This window comes from Homo sapiens, chromosome 3 (genome assembly GCF_000001405.40).
Source record: "Homo sapiens chromosome 3, GRCh38.p14 Primary Assembly".
NCBI classification, from domain to species: Eukaryota; Metazoa; Chordata; class Mammalia; order Primates; family Hominidae; genus Homo; species Homo sapiens.
This window is the reverse complement of record NC_000003.12, coordinates 34,149,466-34,164,666: the sequence shown is the minus strand read 5'-3', so window position 1 is coordinate 34,164,666 and position 15,201 is coordinate 34,149,466. Positions and strand designations below refer to the sequence as shown.

Genomic DNA, 15,201 nt, shown 5'->3' with positions numbered 1-15,201 from the left:
AAGAATTTAAATCTGCAAAGTAGTCAAAAGACTCCCTCAACTATTAACTTCAATCAACTTTTCTAGCTAGAATTTTTCTACAGTTTATTGCAGAGTCTATGCTGATGTACTAAATTTGGATATTCTACAAAGCCAATAAAAGAAAAAAAGAAAGAAAGAAAGAAAGAAAGAGAAAAGAAAGGGAAGGAAGAAGGAAGGAAGGAAGAAAGGAAAGAAAGAAAGAAAGAAAGAAAGAAAGAAAGAAAGAAAGAAAGAAAGAAAGAAAGAAAGAAAGAAAAAGAGAAAGAAAAAGAAAGAGAAAGAGCATAAATGTGAGCTCAGGTATTTGATTAATGAGAAAATATTATTCTAAAATAATTCAGTAAATGTGACCCATTTGTACTAGCTCCAATCAAAGCACTAATAATGTAAAGAGATGAACAAAGAAGGAAGAGGGTATAAAACATCCTGATGAATTATTCTACAGAATGGACCATTGATTGAATTGCTCGGGTCATTCATTCCTTGTTATTATCTCAACCAGTGCTATCCAGTAGAACATTATGCAATAAAGGAAATATTCTGTATCTGTGCTATCCAATATGGTAGCCAAATAGTCACATGTGGCTATTGAGCACCAGCAGTATTATTACTATAACCAAGGCACTGAAATTTTAACTTTACTTAATTTTGCTTTGTTGAAATGTTAATATAAATAGCCACATGTGGCTAGTGGCTATTATTTTGGACAGTGCAGATCTGTACTAATTAAGTCATATCATCTGGTAAGAAGAAATAACTTCATTTAGATTCATTTTCTTCATCTTAAACAAGTCTCTTGTCATTAATGATTATGTCCCTTCATATAGTGACCAATTCACAATAGTAGCAGATCTCACTTTCCATTAATCTCTCTTCTCCTGATCATACCATCATGGAGGGACAAATAACCCTGAAATAGTTAAAGATATAGTGTCATCAATGAGCAAGGCTAGACTATTGGTGAAGCAACATGCTCAATAGATTTTTTGTCCATATTTTGCACTATATAATAAAAGACATCCTCAGGCTTATTCTCTCCACAGCCCCACAAGGTGTTTCCAATGCTGTTTCTCATAATATTCCTCAACTTAGGCTCATGATTCCCTTATAGTACAAATCTTTGAGGACTCCATTATTATTCAGTCCAGATTCATAGCTCTCTTGGGTCTGGAAGGAAATATTTACATTTCAAAAGAAAAAATTAATTGCATATCCTTTATGAAATACATGCTGAATATTGCTTTTCTCAGTTATGATTTTAATAACTATTGGACAGCTATAAATTCCAGAGTGCACTCCTGGAAAGTACTTGAACACAGGCAACTATGTGACCATGTGAGTGAAGAGCATGTGGCCCTGCACAGGTAGTCAAATTCAAAATAGGAACCTATTGGGAAACTTAAGGACCCTAGCAAGAACTTGTGGCCTGAAGGGAATACCCCATGTCTTCTAGGAGGTAAATAGCACTGATTGCCTTCCCTACCCTGACTTAATGTTACTTTATACAGCTTCTGACCTCCAAAATATTTTCACAACGCTTTTGAACAGTGGGGTGTGTTACCCATTTATGGCTTTTGGTGGTAAATCACCCTTTGCTGTGTGAATATTTTATTATGGGGTTTAGAGCAAACGTCCCATAAACAAGAGACCATCTTATTCTGTTTATTCATGGTGCCTAACACCCCCCCGTGTATATAGTGAGTGCTCATTAGATATATGTCAATTACATAAAGAACAACCATAATTGGGATAAGCAGAATTCCAACCATGCCATATTACCTTTGGATGATTTAAAAGAAATTGTTAAAATATGTTTAAAAATAATAAGGCTTAGTTTACATGGGTCCTTCAAATTATTGCCATCCTTAATGAAAATGATACATCAGAAACACAGCTTCTCTCCCAGGAAATATTTCTTCCTGTGTTTCCTCTTGACCAAAATAAAATGCCATGTCAGGCTCTCCCTCTATATTTCATTTCTTCTCTAATTCTTATTTACAGAAATAGTTTCACAAATTTGTCTTATATTAACTTTCTTTCCCTATAAACAATCTCTAGCCAATGAGTTTCCTAATTTTATTTCAAAGCTGACTGTCAGGTCAGACTGTTCAGAGAAGCTTGATGTGCCTATAGTTGACATACACGATGACTACGAGAAGATAGCATCAGACTTTGGAATTTGTGTAAAACCCGAGATTTATACTAATGGAGGAGACTGGCAATGGACATAAGTATCTAATTATCTTGAGTTTTCCACATTCTGGACACTAAAGAGGGCTTATGGGGATCCAATTAAGGTTACTAGAGTGTATATTTTTATAACAGTAGTTTAAAGAATTAAATGACTCTTAAAAAGGAGTAAGAACTATGTGGAGTTTAGGAAAAGTGGCACCAAAGAACAATAATGTTGTAGCAGTTTTCTACCATATGAGAATGTTCTGGTCACTAAAGTGGCACACTCTCTTCTGTGAACTGGAGAAAGTACCCACATGGTCACCTAATTCCATTTCTTCTGAGTCTATTCACTAATCAAACTTAGGTTACAGAGTCTATAGCACAATTACCTTAGTACCAAGAAAAACGTTCTTTGGTGGTGGGCACCATTATTATGTTCACAGGAAATAAAAGCTTTGTTTGTAAATTAATAAATAAATAGTCTATTCTAAATATTAGTCAGTTCCCTGAGGCTCATCAGATCTAGCGCACTGACAAGTTTAGTTTGTGGATTCAGAAAGAAAAGACCCTTGGATTGTGCATTGACATTGTAAACCCTCTCTAAGAAGTCAGGCTGTCTCTTTTTAATATCTCCAACTCATTATCTTTATTCTCAACATTCTATGTCTGAAAACACCTTGACAAGTCCCATTCTTTTCACTACATTTGTGAATGTATTCTTTTCTCGCTAAAAGCCAGAGAAGCTATGGAAGATGGGCATTTGCCAACTGCCAAAATATGTGAAGCTGAAACTTCTCATTTCTTGACTTGTGGATAACTCCTTTGTTTTACCTCTTATATTGGTGTTGAAGCAAAGCATCTTCTACATCAAATTCATTAACCCTACAGAGTTCTGACTAATGTAAAGAGAATACATTTAGAAGATAAACAGATGTGGTTTGAATTTTAGATCCATCATTTGCATTCACTTGCCATTTGAGATTAGACAAATCCTTAACCTCTCTTACCCTCAAAGTCTTCATCTGTGAAAATAATAATACTTATATCACAAGATTAGGAGTATTTAAGGAGTCTATATATATTTAAGTATCTGGAACTTAATGGGTATTCAAAAGTATTCATTTTCTTTTCCTCAGTATAATTTTCTCTGGCTAATAGCTTTGGCATTCAGTAGCATTTGCAGGACCCATAATATCTTAGTGAAAGAGATCATTCCAATTACTATTCCAGCCACTTTTTTCTGAAATTGCCAAGCCATAGTTTATCATCCTATGTCCAATATTAGTTATATCCTTATTACCAGCTGTAATTACAAATGCATGAGTTATATTGTTATTTATAATAAAACTATTTTTCTACAGTCTTTTAAGGGACACTTTGATTTATTACATGCATAGTCTGTGTTTGGACATCTAATACGTGGCTTAGCACAAAGCTAATCCTCTTTCTAATAATTACCATAATAAAGTTGTTAATATCAACAAAATTTACAGGTAGTTGAATATACACTCATATATCACATGACAACATTTTGGTCAAAGACGGACCACACATATATGACAGTGGATAAAATTATGATACTATACTTTTACTGCACTTTTTCTATGTTTGTATATGTTTAGATACACAAATACTTACATTGTGTTTTAATTGCTTGCCTACAGTATTCAGGACAGTAATATGCTGTACAGGTTTGTAGCCTAGGAGCAATAATAGGCTCTACCATATAGCCTGGGTGTGTATTAGGCTACACTATCTAGGTTTGTGTAAGTACATTCTATGATGTCCAGACAAGGATGAAATTACCTAATGATGCATTTCTCTGAACATACTCCCAACATTAAGCAATGCAGGCTGCATATAGTTAAGCCGAAGAGGAAACAAGGGATTTGGCCATTTATGTATATTTATTACAATATTTCCCTTACTGGTTGGTTCCACCTGAAATCTGTTCTATAGCACTGATCCCGGATAGTCTATGCCCAAGTTTTGGATTCCAATTCTAGCTTTTGATTTACAGCCTGTGTCTTTGAACAGAAAAGACTGTATAGAGCAAAATGCATAATAATGCAGACATGCAGATAAGCACAAGCCCAAGATCCAGGGGAAAAGTGGGTTAGAATGGAAAGAAATTGTATTCTGGGGAAACAAGAACATTTCTTGCATTCACTGTTGATTTCGTCAAACCCTGTCCTATCCTTGCTACCAGCTATGTTACCTCTGAGTAAGGCACCAGGATTTGTGGGGAAAGCCAGTAAACATTTTACAAGGTAGTAAAAATACTGGCAGGCCAAAGAATTATTTAATCTATCTGGAAGGCAAAAGAGTCAGACTCAAAGATTTTGAGTGATTTGGCTAAGTCAGTTTTGCACCAGTATCCAAAAAAGATGTAAATAGGAACATTAATCACAAGTATGCACAACCTTAAAAGAAAAAAACTAACCTATATTCAGTTAAACCTCTCCTGACTCTTGCCACTCAGAGATTCAGTTAAACTTCTCTTGACTGCCAATTCCATTGACTGTTAACAGTCTTCCCACAACATCTGCAAGTTCAAAGATTCATTTCCTCCTGCTTCTATTGCCACTGAATTTCTGTCTTCTTTATTTCTTTTTATTGAGAGGCAGGGTCTCATTCTGTTGCCCAGGCTAGTGTGCAGTGACATGATCACAGCTCACTATAAACTCGAACTCCTGGGCTCAAGCAATCCTCCTGCCTCAGCTTCCTGTGTAGCTGGGAACACACATGCATGCATCTATATTCAGATTATTTCATTTTATTTTATTTTATTTTATGTTCTCGTAGAAACAAAGTCTGGCTATGTTACACAGGCTGTTCTTGACCTCCACGCCTCAAATAATCCTCCCACCTTGGCCTCCCAAAGTGCTCGGATTACAGGTGTGAACCGCTATGCCTGGCCCTTGCTTGTCTTTAATTCCACAGCACCCTCAGTCCCTTTACCAGTTTCCAAAAGAAAGACACCACTAAAACAGCACATTTCTTGAATTGGAGAGACTTCCCGAAGACCAGGGGTGACACATGGAGAGAGGTTACCTCAGAGAGCTCACATCCTCCCACAGTCTCCTGGTTGATCTCTCAACATCTCTGAACAACCAACAGAATCTCTTGTATCACCCAGATGAAATCGATTTAGAATATACCCTAATTCCTTGGGGCAAAGGAAAAGGGAGAGCATAGTACCACTCTAAACTCATAAAAATCCTTTCCTTCAGAGACACCTTTCACTTTCTCTGGAGAGTTCCAGTGAACATCATTTTCTCTGGCTCATTACGTGTGATATTCAAAATGGTGGTCTCGGCCAGGAGCGGTGGCTCACGCCTGTAATCTCAGCACTTTGGGAGGCCAAGGTGGGTGGATCACGAGGTCAGGAGTTTCAGACCAGCCTGGCCAAGATGGTGAAACCCCACCTCTGCTAAAAATACAAAAATCAGCCAGGCGCGGTGGTGGGCGCCTGTAATCTCAGCTACTCGGGAGGCTGAGGCAGGAGAATCACTTGAACAAGGGAGGCAGAGGTTGCAGTGAGCAAAAAAAAAAAAAAAGTCAGGAAACAACAGATGCTGGAGAGGATGTGGAGAAATAGGAACGCTTTTACACTGTTGGTGGGAGTGTAAATTAGCTCAACCATTGTGGAAGACAGTGTGGCGATTCTTCAAGGATCTAGAACCAGAAATACCACTTGACCCAGCAATCGCATTACTGGGTATATACCCAAAGGATTATAAATCGTGCTACTATAAAGACACATGCACACGTATGTTTTTTTTTTCTTTTGTTTGTTTTTTTGTTTTGAGATGGAGTCTTGCTCTGTCGCACAGGCTGGAGTGCAGTGGCGCGATCTCGGCTCACTGCAAGCTCCACCTCCTGGGTTGATGCCATTCTCCTGCCTCAACCCCCGAGTAGCTGGGACTACAGGCGCCACCACGCCTGGCTAATTTTTTTTGTATTTTTAGTAGAGACGGGGTTTCACCGTGTTAGCCAGGATGGTCTCGATCTCCTGACCTTGTGATCCGCCCATTGCAGCACTGTTCACAATAGCAAAGACTTGGAACCAACCCAAATGCCCACCAATGATAGACTGGATGAAGAGAGTCTGGCACATATATACCACGGAATACTATGCAACCATAAAAAAGGATGAGTTCATGTCCTTTGCAGGGATGTGGATGAAGCTGGAAACCATCATTCTCAGCAAACTAACACAGGAACAGAAAACCAAATACCACATGTTCTCACTCATAAGTAGGAGTTGAACAGTGAGAACACATGGACACAGGGAGGGGAACATCACACACCGGGGCCTGTCGGTGGGTGGGGGCTAGGGGAGTGATAGCATTAGGATAAATACCTAATGTAGATGACTGGTTGATGGGTGCAGCAAACCACCATGGCACATGTATCCCTATATAACAAACCTGCACTTTCTGCACATGTATCCCAGAACTTAAAGTATAATAAAAATAAATAAATAAATAAAGTAAATTTTAATTAAGTAAAAAAAATTGGTGGTCTTAATCAGAGACACAAACTAACATTTGTGAGTGTTTATTATGTGCCACTTATTTTATGTTTACCACCTACATTCCTCACAAAGCTGACCCCATGCCATCTACATCATATAAAATAGGAAACTAAGGTTCAAAAAGGTTCAATTACACTCCAGGTGTCACAGCAAGTAAATGATGGAACTGAGTTTCTAACTTAACTAGATTGACAACAAAACCTAAGCTCAGCTCCCCAACCTCTAACTTCCTCCACACTTACCCTCTCATCAAAAAGGAGTCACTCACCCAGTTCTAAGTTAATGCCTCAGGCTGTGAAATACCCTGAGCTGCTGGAAAGGTAACAAATGAAGTCCAAACTATAGCAAAGGAGAGAGCCCCTTTCAGCTTTCTTTTCTCTCATCATGGAGAAATCCCAAATTCCAAGTGCTTCTGAGCAACATTGATATTGTCTTGTGAAAGGTTTGCAGAATACTCCAGCAAAGAATGCCAGAAATAGCCTAAGCTACTGATTCTAACAATTGTTAACAAAAAGCAACTTGATTTTTTAAAAAGCAGTAACAAAAAGCAAGGCAGTTATTTTTTACCTTTTGCTTGAAGGCAAAAAAAAAAAAAAAAAAAAAGCTTCATTCCTGAACACACTATTTTAAGTTTCTATTTTATTTCCTCCATTTTAGAGAAGCCAAAGCAACAGGCTAACCAGCCCATTTTTATTCCACATTTATGCTGACATTTTGCATTTACAAAAAAGCATAGGGAATATATTTACAAATTCAACAGTGAGGGAAGGAAAAACTTTTCAAGTTTGGCCTAACCTAGTTTCCACAGCATTTTTAAATATTTCTTTTGTCAGAGGAGCAGATGTTGCAACCCTGTACAAAATCTGAGAAGGCAACAGCCTGCTCCCTTTTGAAAGCATCTAATCTCAAAATCCCATTGTCGAGTTCTGTGGGATTTCCCTGTGTGTTCGTGTGTGTTCTCCCACTGAATTCCTTTATGTGTGCACGTGCGTGTGTGTGTGTGTGTGTTGAAGGAGCGGGAGAGAAGTGAAAACATTTCCTATTAAAAAGTGACTGAGATGTGCAACAGACAAGGAGTTGCAACAACCAACAGCCAGCCTGAACCACTGAGGTACTATCACTGGACGGTGATGCAATGTAATTTTTACAACAGAAGTAAGAAAACTGTAAAGATCCATCAACAAGGGAAGCAATAAACTACAGACAATCAGACAATGAATCTTATGCAATCAGTACAAATAAATTAGGGCTTTATACAGAGGCACAAAACAATTTCAACAATAGTTGGGTTAAAGAAAGTTATAGAATAATATAGATAGTATAATCCCATTATGTTAATATATATATTATATATATTTGTGAATTTTATTATAATAATTATGCATCACATTATATTATATACAAATGAGTCATATGATTTACACTCAATAAAGGAAGTTTGAAAGTTGTTAACAGCATGTGTCATTGGATGGCATTATAGATGTTTTTTGCTTTCTTCTTTGAGTATGTCTGTATTTTCAGTTCATGATATAATGAATATGCATTACCACTTTTAAAAGATATTTTTCCAGCCTGGCCAACATGGCAAAACCCCATCTCTACAAAAAAAAAGTACAAAAAAATTAGTCAGGCATGGTGGCTACCCAGGAGGCTGAGGTGGGAGGATCACTTGAGCCCAGGAGGTCGAGGCTGCAGTAAGCCATAATTATGTCAGTGCATTCCCACCTGGGTGAAAGAATGAGACCTTTTCTCAAAAATTTTTAAAAATAATAAATAAATAATATTTTAAAAGTTATTTTTAAATGAACATAGATGCACATGGGAAGAATTCTTCGGTATTCCAGCAGCATCCAGAATTGAGAGCACATTCTTCAAGGTGTTTTTGACAAACCTGAGTGTCTGTGGGAGGAGATTTCCACACTAGGCAGAAACCCTCCTCAGGTCTCTCAGATCATCCAACCAATTAGGGCCAGTGTCACTTTGATACCCATGGTTAGTGTTTCTGCACAGCTAACAGCAAGCATGAGCTTCAATGGGTAGGGAGAGCAGCGGGCTGGAACTCAAATGACTTTCAGGCACCCATATAGGTTTTGTAACTGAGAATGAAGCTCAACCTCCTAGACAAGAAGTACACATCCTGTCCACGTTGTTCCACTTATCTATTGCAGTATAATGAAGCACCACAAACTTAGTGGCCTAACACAACAATCATTTTATTAGCTCACAGATGCTGTGGGTCAGGACTTAAAGCAGAATATAGCAGGAATGGCTTTTCTCTGTTCCACAGTGTCTGGAGTCTCAGCAGGGGAGACTACAACAACTGGGGGCTGACACATCTGCAGGCCTCTTCAGTCCCATGCCTGGTACTTGGGCTGAGATGACTTGAAGACTGGGCTCCACCAGTGCTGTCAACTGAAGCACTCATATGTGGTCTCTCCATGTGGCTTGCACTTCTCACAGCATGATGACTGGAGTTCACAAGTGTTACAAGACTGAGCATTCCAAGAGAAGCAAGTAAACACTGCATGGTCTTTTGTGACTTAGTCTTAGCACTCACATAGTGTCACTTCCATCATACTCTATTGGTCAAAGTAGTTACAAGTCTGTCTAGAGTCAAGGAGTGAGAACATCAACGCCACCTCTTGATGGGACAGTGTCAACACACTTGTGGCCATTTTTTTTTCTAAACTACCATACACATTTATCAAGTTTCTGCTCCATAACAGCCACTGGAACTGTAGCTTCAAAAAACAAAAAACAGTATTGGGGATCAGAAGGGCTTGATAGCCCCCTTTCCTGATTTCTCCAATAAATCTAATCTCCAGTAACTCTGTATCAGTTATCAATTCCATTTCTCCCTCAGCAAAATAGAAATAGTAATGTTAGGTTGAAACATATAAAATTGCTAATACTTGACCACTTCTAACCTTAAAAAAATTGCAATTTATTTAATCATGTTTGACTTATGCACTTCATAAAAATGTGAGTCGAAAAAGTGATCAAAGATAAACGGTTCTTAAGTGGCAAAAGTATTTAATACTTCTTATTTTCTGAGCTTTCTTTTACAGGCCTTTGTAATGTATCTACTAATTTAAAGAGGAATTTATATTCCCCACTGGCTTTTTTAAAATTACATAACCAATGTCTAGTCTATTGCCGGGATATGTATTCTGTGATTATGATTCTACTCCCCTCATCCTGTGGAATGTCTTTGCTAAAACCTTCTTGGAGTTTCATTTATGATACTATAACAATGTTTACTTTTTACTAACCAAATCCTGAATTCTTGTCAATTTTACATTATGTTTGAATAATGTTCTGTCAAATGTTACATGATACTAGTATGTAGTGTCCTCAGTATTCAACGGGTTACTTCCTTTACTTATTAAACCACATTGGTGGTCATTAAGCACCATCTATACTTACAATCAACCAAGTTCTCTATTGTTATAGATACATAACCACTGAAATAAGTTTGTGTACAGAAATAATAACATATAATAGAATAGAAAAAGAGAGGCAAGAAGTTCTTTTCTGGCCAAAACTAGAAGAGCAAGAGAGGTGAAACGAGGCAAATTACTAAAAGGTAATTTTGTCACAAAATGGAACTGCAAAATAATGAGACTTCATTTCCTGAATGGCCCTAGAAACTGGGTCTAGTGATGAATCCCAAGACTTGGGATTTCCAGACATGTTTTGAACAATAAACTGAGCAACTTCTCAAAAGCAATTTTTCAAAAGGCACAAGCCAATATTGTTAATATTTGGTTTCTTCATTATCCTGTATAACTCTAAATCAGCCTTATTACTCCACTGGTAGGGCAGCTAGTATCCATGTGCAAAATAATAGAAGTCTAAACAAAGCCAATTAACACAGCAACTAAAACAGTGCATATACCAGGGAAGCTGCGAAAAACAAGAAAGAATCCCATCCTTGGATCTGAAGATCCAAAATTGAACTTACTAGTCAGGTGACCAACTCATCCCATTTTGCCCAGAACTGTCTTCAGTTCATCAGCCTACTTATAGACAACTTCGGATAAACCATTTTTCCTTCATGCAATTCAATTTCTTCAAATGTAAAATGATTTAAAAATAAAATCTAATTTGTAGACTTGCTGTGAAAACAATGGAAATAAAGTCTCAAAGCACATTTTTCACTGTCTACAAGCCTTTTGTTACCTGACCCAAGGGTATCTATACAGTTGCCCAGCCCTCTAGTAACCTCATGGTGTGGGCCCTAGACTTTTCATATAAAAAAATTCATAATTAAGAAAAGGATGTTGTTGCCTCTCCTTCTTCCAGAGACCCCTGAATGCTGCCCCAAATCAGAGGAGCCCATAAAACCCAGATCCTAGGAAAGGTGACTTAATGTAATCCCACGTTTTTAAAAAATGTGTCTTAAGAGGACTTGCTTTGTGTTTCTCTTGCCAGATGAGAATCTCAATCATCCTTCATTTTAGAACTACACCCACCTTTCCTCCCACTCAAACAAGAAGCAATAGGAGGAGAGGCAGAGGGAGAAAGTATAAAAACTCCGTCTTCAGCAAATTTTGGAAATATTTTCTTTCAAAGATGTATCAGACACATTTCCTTTTCCTAATGCAAATTAGCAATAGAAGAAGAAAGAAAATGCTTTCAGACTATTACACTAATAAAGAAGACATTAAGCCACTACAGTCAGAAAGCTAAGCAGTAATAATAATGGAATTTTTCCAGCCTATCATTTAATTAAAAGTTGCCAAAATTAGCATATGTGCCCCTCTCTGGGTTCAGTGGCAGTAAGCCCCTCCCTCATTCTTCCCCCACCTGCTGTCCCACCCCTACCATCCCCTCCCACTGTGCCCCCTTTCCTTGTCTCTCCCCAGGTACCTTTTCTTCTCTCCCTGCACCTTTCTCACACCTGGAGACCACAAGGATATGCAGGTCCAAGTGAGCTGAGAAAATGAAAATTACCTTCCTAGAGAAAGGAAAGTGCATTTGACATCCCCCTTGTTCCAGGCCTTGAGAGACTCTGGTATAATTACCTCTGAGAGGCTGCAGGCAGATGGCAGCCTCGGCAGTCCCAGGTCCTCAGTCAGCAGGACACTGCCGAGATGCTCTCTGTGACATTTTGTTCAAGATGTTTCCAGCACACAAAGCCGAGAGCTGGCAAACCAGCAAAGGAGCCTGCAGAGCGTTCATTTAGCCTGGAATTATGGCCATCTCACACATCCACTCTGCAGGTCCCAGCCGCCATACCTCTGCCCAGTCCCATAGGCAAAGATCAGGGACATGACTGATGGCTGCGTACCTTACAGAGAAGCTGAAGTGTGAGCGCACAGGTGGGATGAAGGCACAGCAGAAAAATTGGTGGAGAGTGTGCTGTGCCTGACTCTGGTCCTCCTGAGACATCATTCTCCTCCATTTTCATCTGCGGGAGTCATATAGGATGTCAGTGGAAGCTGTGAACCTCTAGACAGACGTTTAGGATTACTATCAAAGGGAACAATGGAGGAGTAAAGTAGTATAGCCCCACCACCTCTGTAATGTCTCCCTCCCTTGAATTGCCATTTCGTCAACATCCCACCTTTCAGGAATTTCTCTGTCAGTATCCACAGTAGTCAGGGTAACACACTAGCTGCTATAACAAACAAATTCAAATCTCAGTAGCCTAACATAATGGAGGTTTATTTCTCGCTCAAGGCAAAGCCTCATGTGGTAGTCAGCTCTCCTTGGTGCCTCTCCTCCAAGAGGATCCAGCTGCTTCCACCTCAAACACATGGCCTCTGAGATCACTGCTGAAGGGGAAAGCAAGAGCATGAACAATTGCACAGAACTTATAGCCATGTCTGGAAGTGTCCCTTGGATGTGACAACACTAGGAAGTTGCCAGTTGCCTTGATAATAGTTACTGAAGCTGTGGGCGTTAGAAGCCAGATAGCAGTGTGCTGAGACTTCATGATTAGTATTTTAAAAGACAACTAAGAATTCATTAATTTGTTCTACTAATGAGGACTTTCTAATAATTGAGACAAAACTGAGCTTACTTTTTGTCAGCAAATCCCTCCTAGATGCAAATTGGAGTGTGAATCATACAGAACAGGGGGATGCTGGAATACTGAAGAGACCATCCCATTTTCAGCCAATTTCGGGATTCCTCAAACAGGAGATCCTGAAAGCTCAGGTTTAAGTCACACTGTATAACATTTGTCTCTGAGAAGAGTCAAGTTACAGAGTGAGCCTAGGTTCAAAGATGGCCTTGAAGGAAAGAGAAAGTCCCTAAAGGAAGAGTTGTAGTCACAGTGGAGGAGACATGGGTGATGAGTAGAGGCACAGCCCATCAGGCTCACAGTTGCAAGGATGGCATTAATAGGCCAACTTCACTGGTGTGTCTACAGCCTACAGACCTCCTTTGCCCCCACAGGCTGCCTCCCTGGGTCCCTGCCCAGCGGGGTTGAGAGAAGTATAGGAGTCAGAGCCCAGGGGTGGCAGTTGACTAGGGTAAATGGCAGATTAGCTCTGATTTCAGGCATCTCAGCAGCTTATTTATGTGCCAGCAATTAATAAATCGACTTAAAATTTCCCCTGTCTATAAGTTAAATAAAGCAATCTCCTTTTATATCTTTAGTCATTCAGCTGACATTCATTAAGCACAAACCAACCATGCACCAAGCTCCGTGCCAGGTGCTGGGTTGAATATTCAGTTCCTCCCAAAAGTTCCCAGGCTGGGACCTTATTTCAGGCTGCATTGAGTCATTTCATTAAACTGAAAGTGGGGGGAGGAACAGAACATAGGTACTGCCTCTAATTGCAATAGGAAAATAAAGCACTATTAATCACCGTGCTCAGAGAGGCAAAGCAAATTTCTCAAGGTCACACAACTGGGAAATGGCAGAGACAAAATGCACAGTGAAAATAAGAGAACTGAACTTTCAGAAATCCTTTTCATTTCAGACTTTATGGCATGTCAGACACATCTTCCTGCTGTGTGTCTACTCACTGTTTATTTGGCTGCATTTTGTTTTGGGTTTCTGGAGTTCTTCACAACACCCCCTTCAGTCCATATTTACTCCAACACACAGGTTTGTAATTTGAAACTTGCTCTCCTTCTGACAGAATGTCATGAAGGCTAACGAGATCATGTCTTCAAATGCTTTGATCATATAGAAGACAAACTCAAGCAGAAGTTCATATTGTTATAGTGATTATAATGATTATAATTTATACTATACAACATAATAATAAAAACATGTTGTATTTATAATGTGTAATTACAGACATTTTATCATTATTTTCTTCCTAGGCCTAATGATCATGATCATCATTATTAATAATGAACATAATAACCACAGGAAGACAATGAAAACAATGATCACAAACAGCTCAGTGCCAGTTTGGTGTTCTGTAGGGAAGAGTACTCCTTCCAGTCGTCTCTTGCTGGTCAGAATGACTTTGTTAGTTGTGAAGTGATAGCTTTAATTATAAATGACAAGTGGCATTATATCACAGAGGGAAAAAAGATGTTCAGGCCACCAACACATCACTGGAACAGTGCCTGCCCCCCACTCCCTGCACAATTGATACACAAATATTTATACGGCCACAACAACCAGTACAACCTCCAAGCAGGCACCATAATTTATCTGTTCATTAAAAAAAAAAAAAAAAAAAAAAAAAAAAAAAAGAGCTCTGCAGTAGGAAGGCCTGGGCCTGAGGTCCCTGCTCCCCAGTTGGTCTGGTTCCTGGGACCACCAGGGTGCTATTCTACTTTTATCCAGACTTGTGAGAAGACCTGGCATATCTTAGGTGTCATATGAGAGAGATACTTTAGGTTTCAACCAGCAGATAGTTAATATATGCCCATATATATTAGGGCCAGGAAAATGTTAGTTAAGTCTTGGGTACATTCACTGAGTTACAACTGAAGTCCACAAAGGAAATTTACAAGTCATCCAGGAGAGACCAGGATGGGTTTCTTTTGCTGGCAAATGCTACATAATGTCTAATCTGAGCAACACTAAGGCCATGGTGCCTTAGCTGATGAACTCTGTAGCACTTGAGACTTATTGCAGAACCAAAAGTGGGCATCTCCTCTACTCCCGCCCCACTTCAGCTGCTGAGAATCCTTCTCTCCCTCTTTGCTGAACAGACAAGTCACTCTGTACCTCCTACCAAAGAAGTAGAACAGGTGTGAACATTAAAGTGATTACCACCTTCTAGCTCTCCAAAGACATGTCTAACCATGTGGCAAGCTACAGAAAAGGGCAGTAAGACCATTTGTGAGAGGATGGAGAATCAGAGGATGGGGAGAAAGAAAGAGGCAGCCATGCCCAGTGAGAAGAGAAGCATCAACACAAATGCACAGTGACCCCTTGTTCCTGAACACAAACCATCAACCTCACAAATGCTGGAAGTGCACAAACAGAAGTGTCCTCGAAATTCATTCATTCATTCAACAAATATGCATTGACAGTACCAGGCACT

General features: G+C 39.2%; 1 long non-coding RNA gene across 21 annotated transcripts in view, besides 1 other annotated feature; it reads right to left on the bottom strand.

The window, feature by feature from the left end:
• Window positions 1–5,303, bottom strand: part of LINC01811 (long intergenic non-protein coding RNA 1811) — a 276,733-nt gene extending 271,430 nt beyond the window's left edge. For 14 of the 21 annotated variants that reach the window (NR_183677.1, NR_183681.1, NR_183678.1 and 11 more), the window contains exon 1: window positions 5,251–5,303. This is a non-coding gene — a long non-coding RNA (long intergenic non-protein coding RNA 1811). Of the gene's footprint in view, window positions 1–4,639; window positions 4,720–5,250 lie in introns of those variants that run through there. The other 7 variants (NR_183676.1, NR_183683.1, NR_183684.1 and 4 more) reach the window with 1 other exon arrangement.
• Window positions 8,655–8,714: a silencer, noted in NCBI's record as "silent region_14193". NCBI's record gives its function as "represses an Ori minimal core promoter by ATAC-STARR-seq in GM12878 lymphoblastoid cells {active_cell/tissue: GM12878}" and the evidence as "EXISTENCE:reporter gene assay evidence [ECO:0000049][PMID:35858748]".